This window comes from Homo sapiens, chromosome 11 (assembly GCF_000001405.40).
Source record: "Homo sapiens chromosome 11, GRCh38.p14 Primary Assembly".
NCBI lineage: Eukaryota > Metazoa > Chordata > Mammalia > Primates > Hominidae > Homo > Homo sapiens.
The window spans coordinates 75840805-75862461 of record NC_000011.10 but is presented as its reverse complement, the minus strand read 5'-3'; the positions used below and the strand labels follow the sequence as shown (position 1 = coordinate 75862461).

Here is a 21657-nt window from a genome sequence, read left to right as displayed (position 1 = left end):
CCATTACTAAGATATTTTCATTACCAGAAAGGTCTTCTTTGTTTTCAACACAGCCTAATAAATTGAGCCATTTATGCAAATATCCAGTGTATACATTATCAAAAGTAGGATATTTACAACTTTCCAACTGAGCAATGCCACTGCCAAGAAACAAGTAGGAGTATCCTATACAAAAGCCCGAGGCATAAAATTCTTAAGAACTATATCTGAACAAAGATATCATTTATTATGACATATGGCGAGTGAAATAATCAGAAACTTATTTATAGGAAATGGAAGTGAGAAAACTATAGAATTTGAGTTTTTATCATTTAAAGTTCTTAACAGAAAAATCAGTTCATTCAGTAAATATTTTTTTCTTTTTTTATTTTATTATTATTATACTGTAAGTTTTAGGGTACATGTACACAACGTGCCAGTTTGTTACATACGTATACATGTGCCATGTCGGTGTGCTACACCCATTAACTTGTCATTTCATTCAGTAAATATTTATCAAGCACCTACTACATAAGCACTAGAGATACAGCAATGAACAAAACAATGATGATTTAACAATTGAGCAGATCCGTTAAAGTATCATAAAACCAGAGCTGAACCTCAACTTATTTTACATTTCTGCATTTTCTGAAAACAGGTGTATATACTTAGTCATATGTACCCGTCAGAAAGCAAACTTACCAAGGAATTCTTAATCACTTCACTTCTATAAAATTCTGGAAAAGAAGAAAAAAGAACAATAAGTGATATGAAAGAAAATAAGCCCATTAACCAACTGTTAATCCTCTAATTTTTTTAACATATGTTGCAGTAAAACATTTAAAATATTTTCAAGGGATTTATTCTCTCTATATCTTTATCTGTTAAAAAAAAAAGTAAAAATTCAATGAAAGTGTTTTAAAGGGAAAAAAATTCAGTAAAGAAGGATAAAACCTTTCAGATTTGCTTTAGTGATTATTACCTTACTGACTCCTTTTTCCTCCAATTCTAATTTGAGCCCTTAAAAGCTCCAACCTTCTTCCTTCCCCGCTTCCACCCTCACAACTGACTCCATCCGCTCTGTTTTTCTCAAACATCTCGAATGATTACCCATTGCAGTACTGTGGAGTGAATACTGATGTAGGTTACCTGGTTGCTAGTGTTTTAATCTAGGTTAACTGGTTGACAGTTTTGGTTAAAACACTAGCAACCGGGTGACTTAAGTCCTACTTCTACCTCTGTCACTAACACTATGTCTCTTTAATTCCCCTGGGCTCATTATTGCTCTAAGACAACTTAGAGAATTGAACAGATAATTGAAGGTCCTTGGTAAGCATTAAAATTTCATGACTCTACAAGCCTTCATGTATGTTGGAAAAGGTCACAAAACTCAAAGATGCAATCAAAATGTGTCAGAAGTTCAGACACTCCTGAAAACCTTCCAATATTCCCTCTGCTTATCCTGCCCAAGTCATCTCCATGCTGCTCTTATGGCCAACAGGATGAAACCCCATCTCTACTAAAAATACAAAAATTAGGTGTGGTGGCACATGCTTGTAATCCCTGCTACTTGGGAGGCTGAAGCAGGAGAATTGCTTGAACCCAGGAGACAGAGGCTGCAGTGGGTAGAATTGCACTACTGCACTCCAGCCTGGGTGACAGAGTGAGACTCCATCTAAAAAAAAAAAAGAAAAGAAAAGAAAAGAAATTGCACGCTCAAAGAACAATTTGACTTTGATAGATATTGCCAAATTGTTACATACAAATATTATACTAATTTACAATACCACTTATGAAAAAGTCTGTTTCTCCAACACTATGAAACCGTAAGTATTGTTCTTTTCATTTTATCCTCAAATGGTTAACCAATTATTCCAACCATTAACTGACAATACAAACTTAGAAATGTATGTATTTATGTATACATATACATATATCCTAACATACACGCACCATACATTTTTCAAAAAACAAAAGCATAAGGGATTTAAAACTATTGTTTTTTATTACAGGGTATTTTTACATAATACTGTATATATTCTTGTGTTGTTTGAATTAAAGTATATATTACTGTTAAGTCAGTGAAAAACACAAGAAAGATAATCCCTTTTTCTTTTGAGAAAGCGAATTCCTTAGCTTAATCTGCAAAGTGTCTAAATTAAACAGTTTTTGCAATACATATTTCTAGCTCTAAGATGAGTGGTATCATTCCTTCTTCCAAAACTTTGTTAACTTGGGGGCTGGGTGTGGTGGCTCACGCCTGTAATCCCAGCACTTTGGGAGGCTGAGGCGGGCAGATCACCTGAAGTCAGCAGTTCAAGACCAGTCTGGCCAACATGGTGAAATCCTGTCTCTACTAAAAATACAAAAATTAGCCAGGTGTGGTGGTGGGTGCCTGTAATCCCAGCTACTGGGGAGGCTGAGGCAGTACAATCACTTGAACCCAGAAGGTGGAGGTTGCAGTGAGCTGAGATTGCACATTGCACTTCAGCCTGAGCGAGAGCAAAACTCCATCTCAAAATAAATAAATAAATAAAACTTTGTTACCTGGCTGAATAAATCAAACAAAACAATTCGCCTTCTCCAGCAGACCCTCAAAATGAACATGCCAATGTAAATGAAGAGAGTTTAACAAAGGAGCCATACAATTTGGAAAGAAATTGCTGAGTATGAGGTTATTTCTAATATGACAAACATGAACCTACACTGTGTAGCATTCTATTGCATCTAAAATATTATCAATAAAATTTATAGCACAATATAAAAAAATGAGTGAATGTAGAGTTAAAAAAAAATAGTTCCAGTCCTCAATCTACCTCAATCTTTGTGACCCTGGATAGGTCAATTAACCTTTATGGCCCACAATTTCTTCATCTTTCAAAGGAGAATGACACCTGGAATATAATAGGGTTGTTACGAGGCTGAAATAAAATAATGTATTTAAAATATTTTATAATTTTTATTGTTATTGTTTAAGTTTTATTGCTTAAAACAAAACCTAAAATTATTTAAAACAAAATTAATAAAATTTTATTAATAAAATTGTTTAGTTTTTTTCCATTCAATGTGAGTAAAATCATACAAGGAAATTTTCTTTTTTTTTTTTTGAGACAGGGTCTCACTCTGTCACCCAGGCTGGAGTGCAGTGGCGTGATCTCGGCTCACCGCAACCTCCGCCTCCCGGGTTCAAGTGATTCTCCAGCCCCAACCTCCTGAGTAGCTGGGATTGCAGGTGCACACCACCACCGCCCGGCTAATTTTTGTATTTTTAGTAGAGAAGAGGTTTCGCCATGTTGGCCAGGCTCGTCTTGAACTCCTGACCTCAAATGATCCACACGCCTCGGCCTCCCAAAGTGCTGGGATTACAGGCGTGAGCCACCACACCCAGCCTAAATTTTCAAAAAGATATCATTCAAGACCTACTTCTACATGAAAAAGACCATTAAATATAAATATTTCTCTATGTAGCCATGCTAAGACGGAAAGAAACAAAGCAATCACAGATTGCAGAGTATGTTTCAAGTGGCATATTTTGGCTGTTCTGCAGCATTCCATTCATTCAACAAATGCTTAAGTGCCTCATCCTAATACTCATAGATATGGTGTATCTATTCAAAGCAAAACTATCTCCTACTATGAATGTGGACTCATAATAGGAGAAATACAAACTTAAGCTATACTGCAAAATTATTTTTCACCTAACAGGGTGGCAAAAATTCAAAAGTTTGCATAGGCTTGGTGGTTGAAGCTGTGGGGAGAAAAGCACTCACACATAAAACAACTCCCACGGAGGGCAATTTCGCAATATCTACCAAAACTTCAAGTACACATTCTCTTTGTCCTAGTAATTCCACTTTATGAAATTTACCCTATCAATATACTGTCACTCATACAAAACAATGTATTATAAAGTTATTCAATGCAATACTGTGTGTATAGCAAAAGACTGGAACAACCTAAGTGTCCACCAATAGGAGCCAGTAAATAAATTATGGTGTATCTATTCAATGCAAAACTATGCAGAAAAAAACAAAATACAGGGATGCTGTCTATGAACCAATATGGAGAAAACCCTAAGACAGTAAGTGAAAAATGCAAGGTACAGAAACATAAATAGTATGGTACACTTTGTGTAAAAAAGAGGAGAGAAAGGAATAAGAATATTTGTATTTGTACTTGTATTTGCATAAAGAATCTCAGGAAAGACAAACAAGAAATGAGTAACAGTGGTTATCAGGGTGGGGTAGAAAACTAGGGTGACAGAAGGCTGGTGAAAGGGAGGCCTTAATATGAACCTTTGTATCTTTATATATATATACACATATATATTTTTTTTTACCTATTAAAAAATTAAATTAAAAAGACAAAAATATTTGAAGGCCTAGTATGTGTCAAGCATGGTTCTGCAGTTCTGCATATTGGGGACAGAGCAATAAGCAAAAGTGACCTGAAAATCTCTGCCTTCATAGAGTTTACATTCTAGTGGGAAGAGACATACAATAATCAAATAATTAAACATATAGTATGTCAAGTGATCTTAAGTACCACAGAGAAAAATAAAGCACAGAAGACAGAGGAGAATAATCACAATTTATAAAAGGGTTAGTCAGTGATCAAGGAGACTTTCTCTGAGAAACATGTGGAATAAAGACCTGCAATTCAGAAGGAGCAGAATTGAAAGGAAAAAAAAAAAAAGGCTGAGTACAGTGGCTCAGGCCTGTAATCCCAGCACTTAGGGAAGCCAAGACGGGTGGATCACGAGGTCAAGAGATCAAGACCATACTGGCCAACATGGTGAATCCCCATCTCTACTAAAACTACAAAAATTAGCTGGGCGTGGTGGCATACACCTGTAGTCCTAGCTATTCGGGAGGCTAAGGCAGACGAATCGTTTGAACCTGGGAGGTAGAGGCTGCAGTGAGCTGAGACTGCACCACTGCACTCCAGCCTGGGCAACAGAGCGAGACTCCATCTCAAAAAAAAAAGGGGGGGGGAAAAAGAAAGATCTGCAAGAAGGTGGAAGCACTAGTCACGTGAATAAGTGAAGGAAAAGTATCCAAGTCAAATGGCAAATGCAGAGGTCTTTAAGTTAGTTAAAACCAATGCATTCAAGCAACAGCTACAATTTCAGCTAGCTGGAACACAGACAGCTGGAAGAGTAGCAGAAAATGAGTTCAGAGAGGTAACCAAGAACCAGATCATGAAAGGCCTTCTAGGAAACCATAAGGATTTTAGCCTTTTCTGTGAATGAGATGGGAAGCCATGGGAGGGTTTTGAGGAGAGAAATAAAGGGATGTGACTTTCATTTTAACAGGATCTCAGTTGAGAACAGACTGACGGAGTTGCATGAGCAGACAAACCTGTTAAACGTCTACTTCAACAATGTAGTTAAAAGATGACTGTGGTTTGAAGATAGCAAGAAGTGATTAGGTTATGGATATATTTTGATAGTAAGAGCCAAAAGTATACGCTGAAAGACTGGATGTGAAATGTAAGAGAAAGAAGACAATCCAGGATAACTCCAAGTTTTTGGCCAAGGAAATGGAGTTGCCATTTTCTGATATAAGGAAGAATACAGGAGATGGATCACAGCTGGAACATCAGAAGCTCAGTTTTGAACATATCAAGTTTAAGTTACCTACTAGACCCCAAATGGAGCTGTAGAGTAGGCAACTGGATTACAGGGGTATGAGTTCAGAGGAAAGGTCAACAGGTGACATTTAAAACTTGAAGACTTGACCCAGGCTTGGTGGCTTCTGCCTATAATCCCAGCACTTTGGGAACCAAGGCAGGTGGATTGCTTGAACCCAGAAGTTTGGGACCAGCCTAGACAACATGGCAAAACTCGGCTCTACAAACAACAACAAAAAATTAGCCAGGCATGGTGGTGTGTGCCTATAGTCCCAGCTACTCGGGAGGCTGAGGCGGGAGAATCACCTGAGCCCAAAAGGTTGAGGCTATAGTGAGCTGTGATTCTGCACTCCAGCCTGGTTGACAGAGTCAGACTCTGTCTCATAAAAAATAAATAAAAATAAATAAAACTATGAGACTTGGGTAAGATCACCAAATTAAGTAATATAGAGTTCATCTTCTGATGTATTCAAGACAGTCGGTATTCCAGGAGAGGGCAGGCATTTACATTTCATGGGTAAGAAAATAACTATGAAAAACAAACTTAAGGGCCGGGCACGGTGGCTCACGCCTGTAATCTCAGCACTTTTGGAGGCCGAGGCAGGCGGATCACGAGGTCAGGAGATCGAGACTATCCTGGCTAACACGGTGAAACAAACACAGTGAAACCCCGTCTCTACTAAAAATACAAAAAATTAGCTGGGCGTGGTGGCGGATGCCTGTAGTCCCAGCTACTCGGGAGGGTGAGGCAGGAGAATGGTCTGAACCCAGGAGGCGGAGCTTGCAGTGAGCTGGAATCGCGCCACTGCACTCCAGCCTGGGCGACAGAGTGAGACTCCGTCTCAAAAAAATAAAAAATAAAAAATAAAAATTTCCAATTTTAACAAGAACCAAGTTTAGAATCTATCCATCCATTAACACAAGGCTTTGTTCTCTGGGGATATAATAACTAGTATTTGATTGGAAATAAGTAAACAATCTCCTAAAAGCACTACAAGAATGTCAAAAGTCAAAAAATTTCACACATCTCTTCTTAAATTTTACACATATCTTCTTTGGATCTGCTGTAAATTTAGCTGAAATAAAAGAAAAACTTAGAAACCAGCATTTCGGATATTCTTCCAATAAAAAACTGTCTTCTGACACTAAGAAATGTTACCACTAAACAGGTGGTATGGGTGGTTCATCAAGAAGAGTCAATTGGTCTCTTATGATGGTTGTTCTATACCAAGGACCAAACAATGATCATCAAATATTCACGTTTGTCATAATAGGTCCGACCAACAAGATACGACAGCACTAACTAGAATTACTAAAGAAAGGGCTTCCCAGCTCCTCCTATGGTAGTTAAAAGTTTGTAAAGCCCAACAAAGTTCATGAATAGGCTTCACTCAACCATGACATTTTGGAATGGGAGGAATGCTCAGAAATCACCAATCCCTTCATTTTAATGATAAATTAACTGAAGCCCGCAAGAGGGAGTAAATGCCCTCAAGAGGCTTGACAGCTAGTGCCAGATTCAACAGCAACACCAGACCCCGGACTTCCCCGTGCTCTGTCACCAGCTATTCCCTAACTGTGTTGAGGATTGGATTGAGATATCTCATTGAGATAACTTCAAAAAACAGTCAATGACAACTCCTAAATTCAAGATATAATCTGAGCTGGAAGAGAGAAAAAACAAAAACAAAAAAGGCACTTTGCTTTCATCATATCTCTAGACAAGTTTTTTAACATGATCTTCAACCAGCCCCATGACTATTCTTTTTAGAAAATACTATTATGATTATTATAATTCTAATAATAATTGCTATCATTTTCCAAATTCCCAAAATGCGCTAAGTACTGGTGTTAATTACTATTATCAGAGGTAACACTGGGGCAAGAACACAGAAGTTTTGTTAAGGTAACCAGGACTGATTATATAGACACTCATCAAAAATTTAAAATACTCTGGCACTGTCATACATTGCTAGTGATATAACCAATTAGTGAGCAGTAGACTAAATGTTTTAAGGCCTACAAAAATGCTTAAACCCTTAAACCAAATAGTAGCCAAATTGTTTCATTTTCTTTCTGGACACATAGTAAGACTGCATTTCCCAGTCCCCTTTCCATCTAAAAAGGACAATTCAGGCCAAGCACAGTGGCTCACATCTATAATCCCAGCATTTTGGGAGACTAAGATGGGCAGGTCACTTGAGGTCAGTAGCTCAAGACCAGCCTGGCCAACATGGTGAAACCCCATCTCTACAAAAAATACAAAAATTAGCTGGGTGTGGTGGCGCATGCCTGTAATGCCACCTTCTTGGGAGGCTGAGGCAGGAGAATCGCTTGAACGTGGGAGGCGGAGGTTGCAGTGAACCGAGATGGCACCACTGCACTCCAGCCTGGGCAAACAGACTGAGACTCCATCTCAAAAATAAATAAATAAAATAAAAAATAAAAAGGACAATGTAACTGATTTATGGCCAATAGAATGTAATGAAATTGATATGGACCATTTCCATTTAAAAATCTCCCACAAGTAATCCTTCTATCTCTGGCCATGCCAGAGGCCATGTATTGAGGACACCAGCAGCCCAAACTAGAAGGAACCTGCATACCTGAGTCATCACTTAAAGGACAGCTGCCAAGACAGAACCTGATAAAGAACACCTACACTGGACTTAGTATAAGACATGTATTATGGTAAGCCACTAAGAGTTGTGGTATTTGTTACAATAGCTAGCATTAATCATTCAGATGAATACAATTGTTTCAAAAATATGGAATGGACTGGGCACAGTAGCTCACACCTGTAATCCCAGCACGTTGGGAGGCTGAGGCAGGTGTGGGATCACCTGAGGTCAGGAGTTCAAGACCAGCCTGGCCAACATGACGAAACCCTGTCTCTACTAAAAATACAAATATCAGCTGGACGTGGTGGCAGGCACCTGTAATCCCAGCTACTCAGGAGGCTGAGGCAGGAGAATTGCTTGAACCCAGGAGGCAGAGGTTGCAATGAGCCAAGATTGCACCACTGCACACCAGCCTGGGCAACGGAGCGAGACTCTGCCTCAAAAAATAAATAAATAAATAAATAAATAAACAAATAAATAAATAAATCCATGCAATGGTTAGACTGAAAAGTGAGAATGAAATAAAATTACATGAGGATAGTGGAATTTAGAGTCCTTTTCCCATCCTTAAAAATTATTGCCAGGCACAGTGGCTCACACCTGTAATCCCAGCACTTTGGAAGGCCAAGGCAGGCAGAGGTCAGGAGTTCGAGACCAGCCTGGCCAACATGGTGAAACCCCATCTCTACCAAAAATACAAAAGTTAGCCAGGCGTGGTGGCATGTGCCCGTAATCCCAGCTAATTGGGAGGCTGAGGCAGCAGAATCACTAGAATCCAGGGAGGCGGAGGTTGCAGTGAGCTGAGATCACGCCATTGCACTCCAGGCTGGCTGGGTGACACAGCGAAACTCCGTCTCAGGGTGGGGTGGGCGGGAATTATTTTAAGGCTATTTACTCTGAAGGGGTTTCTTCACTGTATATTTCTTGACTCAATTTTTTAATGAGCAGATACTGGAATTGACATTAAAAAAAGTTGTTAAACAATCACTGCTTTAAATAATCATTAAAACTAAAAAGAGGTTAGGGACAGTGGCTCATACCTATAATCCCAGCACTTTGGGAGGCTGGGGGAGGAGCATAGCTTGAGTCCAGGAGTTGGAGACCAGCCCAAAAAACATAGTAGGACCCCATTTCTACAAAAATTTTTTCAAAGTTAGCCTGGAGTGGCGTCTCACACCTGTAGTCCCAGCTACTTGGGAGATGGAGGCAGGAGGATCATTTGAGTCTGTGAGGTCAAAGCTGCAGTGAGCCATGATTGTGCCACTGTACTCTAGCCTGGCTGACAGGGTGAGATCCTATCTCGAAAATAAATAAATAAATAAATATCACTTGAATTTTTCATCTTTGCCACAGGACAAGATTCAAATAAGTCTCAGTACCTTTTGTTAAAATGATGTCACCTTTTGTTAGCATAAATAGATCTTTAATCACATCTTACTGAGATTTTTATGATCCTCATAAAAATCTGTCTTGCCTACTTCATAAGACATCATTATCTCTACTTTACAAATGGGGAGAGTGAAGTTCCAAAAACCGTGATCTTTATCAAAAGTCACGAAGCTAGTGAGTAGCTGGGCTAGAACTAGTACGGAAGTATTTTCCATCATAATCCAACATTCCTATCATTTTACCATGCTTCCTCTCTTACACCATCCCACCTAAGCCAACGGATTATGTCTCAGTGCCTCTCATCTAATATGCATTCTGAAGGTGGTTGCCATTTTTAATCAAATATTTGGTCTACTCTTAGAATTTTTCACTTACAGAAGAATCCACAGTACAATATATAAAACTGAATTAGAGAAAACCATGCCATTCTTCTGAAAAAGATCCCATATATACAGGGAATTACAGATACGAGAAGATATAAACTAGGTCCCTATTTTACCATAATATTAAAGAAAAGAAATTTATTACATTTTTATAAAAGTAAAATTACTACAGGATACTGGATTCAATCTACTTGAAATGCTAGCTGCTAGACCATTAATAGCTAACATTCATAAAGGAATGATAAACGTATCAATGTAAGGCTCAGTTATCTGAAAGAACTATCCAACTGCCATCTTTCTTTAGTATACATCCCAACTGCTCATGAGATATTTTCAGACAGCATAACAATTTAGGTTTCCGAGAAGCCACAAAAGCAGGAGGCACTGAGAATCACTTGTGTTACAAAAAAAATAAAAATATAACAATCTGTGGGTAGTAAGGCCACAGATCCCCTTACCTTTATATATCTTTTCAGTACTACACAAGTGAAGTGTAAAGTAGGTATCAAGGAGCTGATGGCCATTTCTATTAACAATGTTCCGGGCAGCAATGTTCCGAAGATGTCGAAGACGCCGCTGAAAAATAACAACAAAAAAGAGAAGGCATTCAGATTTTTCCTCCTATAAAATTTTCTGGAAGTTGCAGTTCAAAAATGAAATGTAATAAGTTGTCTCAGTCATTTATTTATTGAGCCAGAAACCATAACCCAGTCTCTTATTTATGCCTCAGCATCCCCTCTGTCAAACAGGAATTATACCTGCCCTATCTCATTTACAAGGTGGTTGGAGAATGAAGTGACAACAGACATGAAATATTTTTGAAAAGGACCAACGTTATGTAAGTGCTATATACCCGCATAATAGCATTAGTATTCCCTGGAACATAAACTAAGTAGTAATTTGGTTTTCTCCACAGAGGGATTCTGATAGACATATAAAATCCATCTCATACCAACAGATAATCACCAGTTAACACATACACTCACCCCTGATGCTAGTTCAGTCTAGATGCCAGATTATCTATACAAGCAGGAAAACAAGGCCACAGCCAAAAAATAAAAATAGTGACTCACTGGTCACTCCATCCACCCCATCCAGCCAATAAAGCAACTGCTGTGAGCTTCCATTCGATTCTCATTTCACCAGTCTCAATTTCATAATCAGGCCTCCTTCCTAACAATTTCTCCAACCAGACTCTTTAATGATTTGAAATCATAAGTTTAGAAATGGAAAAGCTTCATAAGCAATAGTAGAAATCAACAAAAATACAAAATAAGCTTAAGGGATAGCCAAATCAACTCATATATCAAAAAGAGAATGTTGGCAACGCTGAAGTCTGGGCACAGCAGATTCATCCCCAAAAGCTAGTTCCCTATGTCAGATCATTATCTTCAGAGACTTAAAAATAGAAACCAAGTGCTCACACTTAAAATGTGCTTAAAGCTCTCCCGCAGGCTGAAAGCCAGTTCACTCTCCTGAGGTAAGTCCACTTTCAATTACAGGCACAGTCAGCCAAAAGAGCCCAGGTCTTTTTCCCGTGCACATACCAACCCAATCCTTTCTCCCAATCTAGAGATTAAGATTCTTTGAGAGAGAAGGTTATTGTCTAATAAATTTGTTTAATCCTCTAAGTATGAAAAGCCTCAAATGTATTTACAAAAAGTTTCCTGGGCTTACTCTAAAAGACTCATTTTTCCACAATCTGCCAATGGTTTCCATTTCACACCCTGGATTACAGCAACAATTTTCTCCTGCTACACACTTTTCATTAGCCCTTTCAGTCAAAACTTTAAAAACAGGAACCACTAATTATCTGCATACAATAATCACATCTATTTTGCTATAAGATTACAATCCTGCTCCTCTGTTCAAAGACCTGAAAACATCTGGAATATCTAGGATAATGTACAAAAACATCCCATCATTGTGTTCAAAGCCCTCTACAGTCTAACTTCTCTATATACCATCCTTACTTCCCACCAGCTCTTCCACATACCCAACCCCTCAGTCACACATGACTGCTTAAAGTCCATCAAAAAGACCATGAACTTTCCTAGCTCCATGCATTTGCTGATGGTAGACCTCAATGCCATCCCGCTCTTTAAGGAGATCCTATGCATATTTCAAAGTTTAGGAAAGAAGATTCCTGCCCTTCCTGATTTTCCAATTGAAATTGAGGCAGGAGAATAGGGTCTCCAGGGACCTAAGGCAACCCTAGAACTAAATCTAAAGGAAAACCCCAACTTTCCATGCCTAAATAACAAAAGGACCAAAGGCTACACCCTTTGCAAACTCCCCATTCTGGCTGGGTGCTTTCCATAACCAATCAGATGCTTGCATAGGAGTGTAACTTTGTAACTTCAGCCTCTGATTGGCTGCTTTCTGCAACCAATCAGACTGATTGCAGGCCACCACTTCATTTGCATGGTGTGAACACCAAGTGGCCAATGGGAAACCTCTGGGGGTATGTGGGTCCTAGAAGATTCTGTAAGGGGGCTCTCCAGGGGCTGCAAGGCCCACTCCCACCTTGCTGAATGTACTTTCATTCTCAATAAATCTCTGCTTTCATTGCTTCACTCTTTGCTTGCTTTGCTGTTAATTTTGTCCAATTCTTTGTTCAAAACACCTAGAACCTGGAGAACTTTCAGTCAAGACCCGCTACCAGTAACAAAATTAGTTGCTCCCTTATTAGGACAAGTAAGAACTTTGCTTCTATCTCTACTATAGCACTTATTTTGTTCGGCCTTTATTATAGTTAATTGTTTACCGTTATCTTCCCTATTAATCTAGCATTAAAAGGCTTGATAGAAACCACAACCATCACTGTACTGTCAGCATTTATTAAATGTTTACCTTGTGTCATGTACTGTGCTAAATATGTGCTTCATACATGTGAACATTTAATTCTCATAACAACCCTACAAGGTTAACTATTACTCATTATCATTAATTTTTTTTTTTTTTTGAGATGGAGTCTCGCTCTGTCGCCCAGGCTGGAGTGCAGTGGCGCAATCTCGGCTCTCTGCAAGCTCCGCCTCCCAGGTTCATGCCATTCTCCTGCCTCAGCCTCCCAAGTAGCTGGGACTACAGGCACCCGGCTAATTTTTTTGTATTTTTAGTAGAGAGGGGGTTTCACTGTGTTAGCCAGGATGGTCTCAATCTTCTGACCTCGTGATCCGCCCGCCTTGGCCTCCCAAAGTGCTGGGATTACAGGTGTGAGCCACCACCCGCCCGTCCATCATTATTCATTTCTTTATCTCAACATTTTTTTTTTCTTTTGAGAGGGAGTCTCGCTCTGTCTCGCCCAGGCTGGAGTGCAATGGCGCCATGTCGGCTCACTGCAGCCTCCGCATCCTGGGTTCAAGTGATTCTCCTGTCTCACGCTCCCAAGTAGCTGCGACTACAGGCATGTGCCACCACACTTGGCTAATTTTGTATTTTTAGTAAAGACAGGGTTTCACCATGTTGGCCAGGCTGGTCTCGAACTCCTGACCTCAGGTGATCGACCTGCCTCAGCTCCCCAAAGTGCTGAGATTACAGTTGTGAGCCACCACACCCAGCCTAGTCTTACATTTCTAAGTAACCAAATATAAAACAAAGAAAATAATAAATGACAGGAGATATCTCAAAAGAAGGAAAGAATGCAGAAAGAAAGCCAAGGATTACATCCTATATACGTGGATATGTATCTCCATCTAAATACTACATATACCTAAAAGATATAATTTGTCTTCATACTCCTTTATTACTACAGAACACAAGGAAATAACCAATTCTTCAACTCAAAAGAATAACTTTATGACACATGCAATTACCATGGAATTGACTGCCTTACAAAGCAGTGTGCAGGGCTTGGACGGAGATCGAATCTATAATAGATGCATGGATATTATTATCAAAGAGATCTCTGCATTATGTAGCAACTGTGGGAAATTAGCACGACCACCTCCAAGATACCTTCTGATTCTAAACTCTATGATTTTCATCTGGGTGATTACCAGTGTAATCCATTAATGCGAATAAACAGAACAAACCACATTCAGACCATTTTATAAAAAGGTTTACAAAAAACAAACTCCATAAACTGACCAACTATAATTAAAGCACTGACTGTGGGCTGTATGACTTTTTGCCCTTTTCCTTTATTTTACTTATTTCAAAAGCATTAGGGTAAGTATTCTCATTATACCATAATTAATTAAAATCCAAGATACTTCCAGCAACTGGAATGGACAAAGGAAAGAAACTTTTTTTTTTTTTTTGAGACAGGGTCTCTCTCTGTCCCCCAGGCTGGAGTACAGTGGTAGATCGTAGCTCACTGCAGCCTCAACCTCCCAGGCTCAAGCAATCCTCCCACCTCAGTCTCCCAAGTAGCTGGGACCACAGGCATATGCCACCATGCCCAGCTAAATTTTTTTTTTTTTTTTTAGAGACAGAGTCTCCCTATGTTGCCCGTGCTAATAAATCCTTTTTTCTTTTTTTTTTTTTTGAGACACAGTCTCACTCTGTTGCCAGGCTGGAGTGCAGTGGTGCGATCTCGGCTCACTGCAATCTCCGCCTCCCGGGTTCAAGCATTTCCCCAGCCTCAGCCTCCTGAGTAGCTGGGACTGTAGGCGCATACCACCACACCCAGCTAATTTTTTGTATTTTAGTGGAGACGGGGTTTCACCATGTTGGCCAGGATGGTCTCGATCTCCTGACCTCGTGATCCGCCCACCTCAGCCTCCCAAAAGTGCTGGGATTACAGGCGTGAGCCACCGTGCCCAGTCGCTAATAAACTCTTTATGGGTAAATTACTGATGCAATCTTGGTAAAAGGCAGTAAGTGTACATGTAAACCCTCTTGTGCCCTAGGTCTGGCCTTCTTTTTTAATAACGTTCATTCCAGAGCCAGGCACAGTGGCTCATAACTGTAATCCCAGCACTTTGGGAGGCCAAAGCAAGAGGATCACTTGAGCCCAGGAGTTCAAGATCAGCCTAGGCAACAACATAGTGAGACCCTATCTCTAGAAAAAATAAAAATAAATTAGCTGGGCTGGGCACAGTGGCTCATACCTGTAATACTAGCACTTTGGGAGGCCGAGGCGGGTGGATCATTTGAGGTCAAGAGTTCAAGACCAGCCTGGCCAATATGGTGAAACCCGTCTCTACTAAAGATACAAAAGTTAGCCAGGCGTGGTGGCACACACCTGTAATCTCAGCTACTTGACAGGCTGAGGCAGGAGACTCACTTGAACCCCGGAGTTGGACGTTGCAGTAAGCCGAGATCACGCCACTGCACTCCAGCCTGGGTAACAGAATGAGTGAGACTCCATCTCAAGAAAACAAAAGAACAGGCCAGGCACGGTGGCCCATACCTGTAATCCCAGCATTTTGGGAGGCCGAGGTGGGTGGATCACCTGAGGTCAGGAGTTCGAGAGTAGCCTGGCTAACATGGCAAAACCCCATCTCTACTAAAAATACAAAAAATTAGCCGGGCGTGGTGGCACACACCTGTAATCACAGCTACTCAGGAGGCTAAGGCAGGAGAATCGCCTGAACAAGGGAGGCAGAGGTTGCAGTGAGCTGAGATCATGTCACTGCACTATAGCCTATGCGACAGAGCAAGACTCCGTCTCAAAAAAAAAAAATGAAAGAACAAAGTCAGAGAACTGACATTACTATAAAGCTACAGTAATCAAGGCAGGATGGTATTGGCAAAAGAAGAGACAAACAGACGAGAACAGAATAGAGAGCCTAGAAATACACTTACACAAATACAGTCAACTATTCTTTGATAAAGGCTCAAACACAATTCAAAGACAACAGCCAAGTCTTTTCAACAAATGGTGCTGAAAGTGGACATTCACATGCAAAAAAAAAAAAATGAATGTAGACACAGATTTATACTTTTCACAAAAATTAACTTAAAATGAATCGGAGACCTCAGTGAAAATGCAAAACTATAAAAGTCCTAGAAGATAACATAGGAAAAAATTTTGGTGATCTTGGGTTTGTGAGGACTTTCTAGATACAACACCAAAGGCATAATTCATAAAAGATGAAACTGATAAATGGGACTTAATTAAAATTTAAAACTTGGTTTTTCTTAGGCTTTGCAATGGTTCTGAGTGGTCTGAAACCCTTACCTGATTCTGATGCCCACCCACCAGATGGAGAACACAGCGCACTTCACATCTAAGAACTTGTCTAATGACTGAAACGCGGTAAGTCTTAATAACACTTTTAGCCTATTGGAAATCCTCAAGGCTCATCCTTCAACTGCTCTCGAGTATAAGGTCTAGTGGTACTTCACATCCTAGAGGCACCATCTAGCATAAATATCAATGCTTTGATCTTTTCTAAACAGAATTACTGGTCTGTTTAGAATTAATGGTCCAGCTACAGATATTTAAGCCAAACATTTTTATGATCTAAATCGGTTCAAATATCTCAGGAAAGTAAAAACATTCGGAGTAATTAAAATGTAAATTTACACAAAAAAATTAAAATTTACACAAACTTTGGAATCACTCTTTAAGATAACATTCTATGCAGTTTTCTTTTTCTTTCATGTCTGTGACATAACTTCCTAAGATCTGCTAACTTTTTTTTTTTGGGCAACCTTTAGGCTCAAGAGGTACATATACAGGTTTTGTTATATGGGTAAACTGCATGTCTCAGGGTTTGGGGTACAGATAATTTTCTCACCCAGGTAATCAGCATAATGCCCAATAGCTAGTTTTTAAATCCTCACCCTCTTCCCATGCTCCACCCCTCAAATAGGCCCCAGTATCTACTGTTCCCTTCTTTGTGTCCATGTGTACTTATAAAGGAGAACATGAGGTTTTTGGTTTTCTGCTCCTACTTATAAGGGAGAACATGAAGTTTTTGGTTTTCTGCTCCTGCATTAATTCACTTAGGATAATAGAATCCAGCTCCAACCATGTTGCTGCAAAGGCCATGATCTCATTCTTTTTTCTGGCTGTGTAGTATTCCATGGTGTATATGTATCACATTTTCTTTAACCAGTCCACCATTGATGGGCATCTAGGTTGATTCCATGTCTTTGCTATTGTGAATAGTCATGTGGTCAAGCAATCTCCAGAAACTTCCTCAAATGCTCTACTTTATACTTTCACAGTTATAAAATGCTCTTTGTGCATTATACTACAGTGGTAGCTTCAGGTGGCTGAGTTGTGCTCTAGTAATATCCATCCCCAGAGCTGAATAGGGGATTTTAATTTTTAAATTAACATGGCTTTAAAATATTTGAAACACTACCTATCACATCCTTATATAAAGGTTAAAAACATTCACTAACATACAAAATCAAAACCTATTCAGCTTTCATCTGGGAGACAGACAGATTATAGGGCACAATTCAACTACCTGAAATGTTGGGAGTGGGCAAAAGAGCAATATGACCCTAAATTCCTTAACTTTTTATAAATCTTTCAAATACAAATTCTAACGCAAGACTTAAGTGGTATGCATAGTAAATTTGAAACATCTGGCTGGTCATGATGGTTTACACCTGCAATCCCAGCACTTTGGGAGGCCAAGGAGGGCACATCGCTTGAGCCCAGGAGTTTTAAGACCAGCCTGGGCAACATGGCAAAACTCCATCTCCACAAAAATTAGTTGGGCATGGTGGCACATGAATGTAGTTCCAGCTACCCAGGAGGCTGAGGTGCAAGAATCACCCGAGCCCAAATGAGCCAAGGCTGCAGTGAGCCATGATGGCACCACTGTACTCCAGACTGGGCAACACAGTGAGGCCTTGTCTCAAAAAAAAAAAAGAAAAGAAAAGAGAAACATCTGCTTTAGTAAAAAAATAAAAATATTAGTATCACAATCATACTCATTAGTATGACTGTAAACCAGTGCTTCCAAAAAACCCAGAATAGCTGTTTTTCTTCTTAATACCAGTAATTTTCTTAGAAAGCTGCTTTAGGCCGGGCACGGTGGCTCACCCCTGTAATCCCAGCATTTTGGGAGGCCGAGGCAGGCAGATCACGAGGTCAGGAGATCAAGACCATCTGGCTAACACAGTGAAACCCCATCTCTACTAAAAATACAAAAAATTAGCCAGGCGTGGTGGCGGGCACCTGTAGTCCCAGCTACTGGGAGGCTGAGGCAGGAGAATGGCGTGAACCCAGGAGGCGGAACTTGCAGTGAGCCGAGATAGTGCCACTGCACTCCAGCCTGGGCGACAGAGTGAGACTCTGCCTCAAAAAAAAAAGAAAAAAAGAAAAAGAAATCTGCTTTAAAACTTAACGGTAGAATACAAACAACTTTTTTATTTTGTTTTTATATTTTTGTTTGTTTTGTTTATGGCCTTGTAGATCCACAGTTCAGTAGAGTTAACTCTACCTGCAGCATCAGGGATGTTCACACAATTCAGCTCAGGCCAATCAATCAGCACATTATATTCTCCCGATCATAACATATGATCCAATTAGGGCTAACGAAAGACCCAGAAATTAAACTGTTGAGAGTTCTTTTTTTTTTTTTTTTTTTAGATGGCGTCTTGCTCTGTCACCCAGGCTGGAGTGCAGTGGCGCAATCTCAGCTCACTGCAACCTCTGCCTCCTGGGCTCAAGAGATTCTCCTGCCTCAGCCTCCTGAGTTGCTGGAACTACAGGCGCCTGCCACCACACCCAGGTAATTTTTGTATCTTTTGTATAGACGGGGTTTTGCCATTTTGGCCAGGCTGGTCTCGTACTCCTGACCTCAAATGATCCACCCACCTCGGCCTCCCAAAGTGCTGGGATTACAGGCATGAGCCACTGAGCCGGCCATGAGTTCTTTTTTGCCCCTACTGGCCCTGAACCTAGAAGGACATAGGGCTAGAGATCCTGTCAGCCATCTTTCTATCACAGTGAAACCAGGGAATGAAACCAACAAGGAAGAGAGCAGAGTCAAGAGATGTGGGATTCAGATCCTGCTGACACAGTCCAAGCCTGGATCAAACTATACTTAAAATGAGTACTATGATGACAAACATCAGCCCATCCCTTTAAAACTGTCAAAGATTACAACTAGGGAAAGAACTTATACTGTAAGGTTTATTAAGGATTTATCCCATGGCAGGTTAGTAGATGAAGAGTAACATTCTAACTTAGTGGCAAGATAAAAGAAATGTTTCACTTTATTAAACATACCCGTATTTTAGAAAATGATCATTTCTGTAGGGTCAATCTATATTTGTTGATACAGTTTTGAACCTTAATACAGCGGAAAGCAAGTCTTAAAAAACCCGGTCAGATCACACACCAGAACTGACAGAACTCAAAGCCATTTTCAGTAGTGAAATATTTTACCTTTCCCTTGCATGCATCTAAAATTCTCTGGCTTCTGAGGTATATTAATGACCAAAGAGAACTGATGTGCCCTTAATCTTGTTCTGCATCAAGCATTAGAGAGTGATTCAGAGAGGCTGATAACCAAAGACAAGGAAATGGCTCCCATTCACCCTCCCTTGCTGGATCACTTGCTTAAAAAACAAAAGTAGTATGGTTCTTAAAATAATTACTCCATAAATCCCCACCATCACCAAACTAAACCATCCCACACACAACTTTCACAACTCCCAGGGCCACAAGGAAGTAACTTCTAAATCGAGTTTGAGTTTGATTTGCTTAATCTATAAGAGTTATTACACATCAATAATGTAACCAATAATCAATAACCTAGAGACCAACGAAAAAGGGGCAAAGGATATGAAAAGGCAGGTCAGGCCAGGTACGGTGGCTCATGCCGGTAATCCCGGCACTTTGGGAGGCTGAGGCGAGCAGATCACAAGGTCAGGAGTTCAAGACCAGCCTGGGCAACATGGTGAAACCCTGTCTCTACTAAAAATACAAAAATTAGCTGGGAATGATGGCGGGCGCCTGTAATCCCAAGTACTCGGGAGGCTGAGGCAGGAGAATCGTTTGAACCCAGGAGGGGGAGGTTGCAGTGAGCCGTGATCACGCCATTGCACTCCAGCCTGGGTGACAGGGTGAGACTCCGTCTCAAAAAAAAAAAAAAAAAGAAAGAAAAGGCAGGTCACAGTAAAAGGAAAAGTAATGGAACTAGTCAATGAACATGTGAAAAGATGTATAATCACACCCACAATTTTAAAATACGCACATCAAAATAAATATTCCACCTTGTGACCGACTGCAGTTTCCAAACTTGGTTGCCCCAATACATCCCATCTGACATGCTCTCTTACAGTGTAATGCTGCCACCCCTGTCATCCATTAAGAAGTGAGGTCTATGTCTCCTCCCCCTTAAATGTGGGCAGATATGAAGCTATGTGACTTCTGAGGCTAAATCATGAAAGGTGACATGGCTTCCACCTGGTCCTTTTGGGATATTCTTCCTTGGAACCCAGTGACTATACTGTGAGGAAGCCAACCAGTCACATGGGCTTCATAGGTGTTCTCCACAGCCCCAGCTGAGATTCCAGCAGGCAGCCAGACATGTAAGTGACCATGTCCTGAGGCTCGGAGCCTCCAGAAATGACATCAAGATAATAAGCAGAGACAAGTTGTTCCCACCAAGCTCAGACCAAACTGCAGATTTCTGAGCAAAATTAATGATGATGATGTTATTTTAAGCCACTCAGGTTTTGTTTGTTATGGAGTAATAGATAATTAAAGGGACCTATCTGATTAAAGAGTCTAACCATTTTAGTCTCTACTGGGGTTGACACGGGTAAGGACAACAAAGTGGGGAAAACATAAAACTGGTCTGCTTTGGAGCAAGGGCAATTTAGCAAAAAATTATCAAATTTTAAAGTTCATATAAAATTTTACCAAGCATTTCACAAGTCATAAAATTGTGTTCAAATATGTTTATTCCAGTATTGCTATAAAAGCAAAAACTGAGTAACACTCTTACATTGTGGTACAATGTAAAAATGCAATGGAAAACCATATTACCAGTTTTTTTTTAAAGGTCATTGAAAATGATGATATAAAACAAACAAAAGAGCAAGAAATGTTTAATGTTTACGTAAAGAAATATTACTATATACCTTGAATAATGTAGATCAGGGAGTAAATCTTTTACGCTTTTCAGTGCACACCCTGTCTGTCTACATACTCTTCTTTTTTAGTTAACAATCTTTTAACAATATAATAACCATTCTTAGCTTATTGGTTGTTACAAAAACCAGCCAGTTAGTCACAGTTTGCTGACCCCTGATTTAGATAAACACAGATATTATGAGATAATTTCTTAAAATAGTATTTGCCTTTGGAAATGTAGTCAAGCTTGTCCTGTACACCTTATTTCATTCCCACTCTCAACTCCTGGTTCCATTTCTTTCTCAGGTCAGACATTTCCTCTCAGCCTGAGACCAGGCTCAATGGCAGGCAAGAATTAAGGCCCAGATTATTTCGGGCAAATTTATATTACTGTTACTTTGTTATAACTTTTTGAGAGGTAACAAATATAAACCTGTGGGAAACTGGTTTTCCACATTTCCACAGAAGGTAAAGATACTCAACTACTGAACTAAGAATTTAAGCTTGATAAATTCAAGTCAGTTTAAAAACAAAAAAACAAAAAACAGAAAGGAGCTCTCTATATTATAGCACTCTCAATCACCTATATTTTCCTAATCCTTTGATCCAACCTGAAAGCCTCACTATGAAAATTTTGAAAGAACACAAGAATGCT

General features: G+C 39.8%; 1 protein-coding gene across 9 annotated transcripts in view; it reads right to left on the bottom strand.

Annotated features, from left to right (window-relative positions):
* Positions 1–21657, bottom strand: part of UVRAG (UV radiation resistance associated) — a 329023-nt gene that overhangs the window by 281771 nt on the left and 25595 nt on the right. For all 9 annotated transcript variants that reach the window (NR_170160.1, NR_170161.1, NM_001386671.1 and 6 more), the window contains exons 2-3: positions 10462–10579; positions 682–716 (exon numbers count right to left, since the gene is read on the bottom strand). Coding sequence is in view for 7 of the 9 variants with exons in the window: in NM_001386671.1 (NP_001373600.1) it covers positions 682–716; positions 10462–10579 (153 nt within the window). In the remaining 2 variants the exon portion in view is untranslated. The remainder of the gene's footprint in view (positions 1–681; positions 717–10461; positions 10580–21657) is intronic.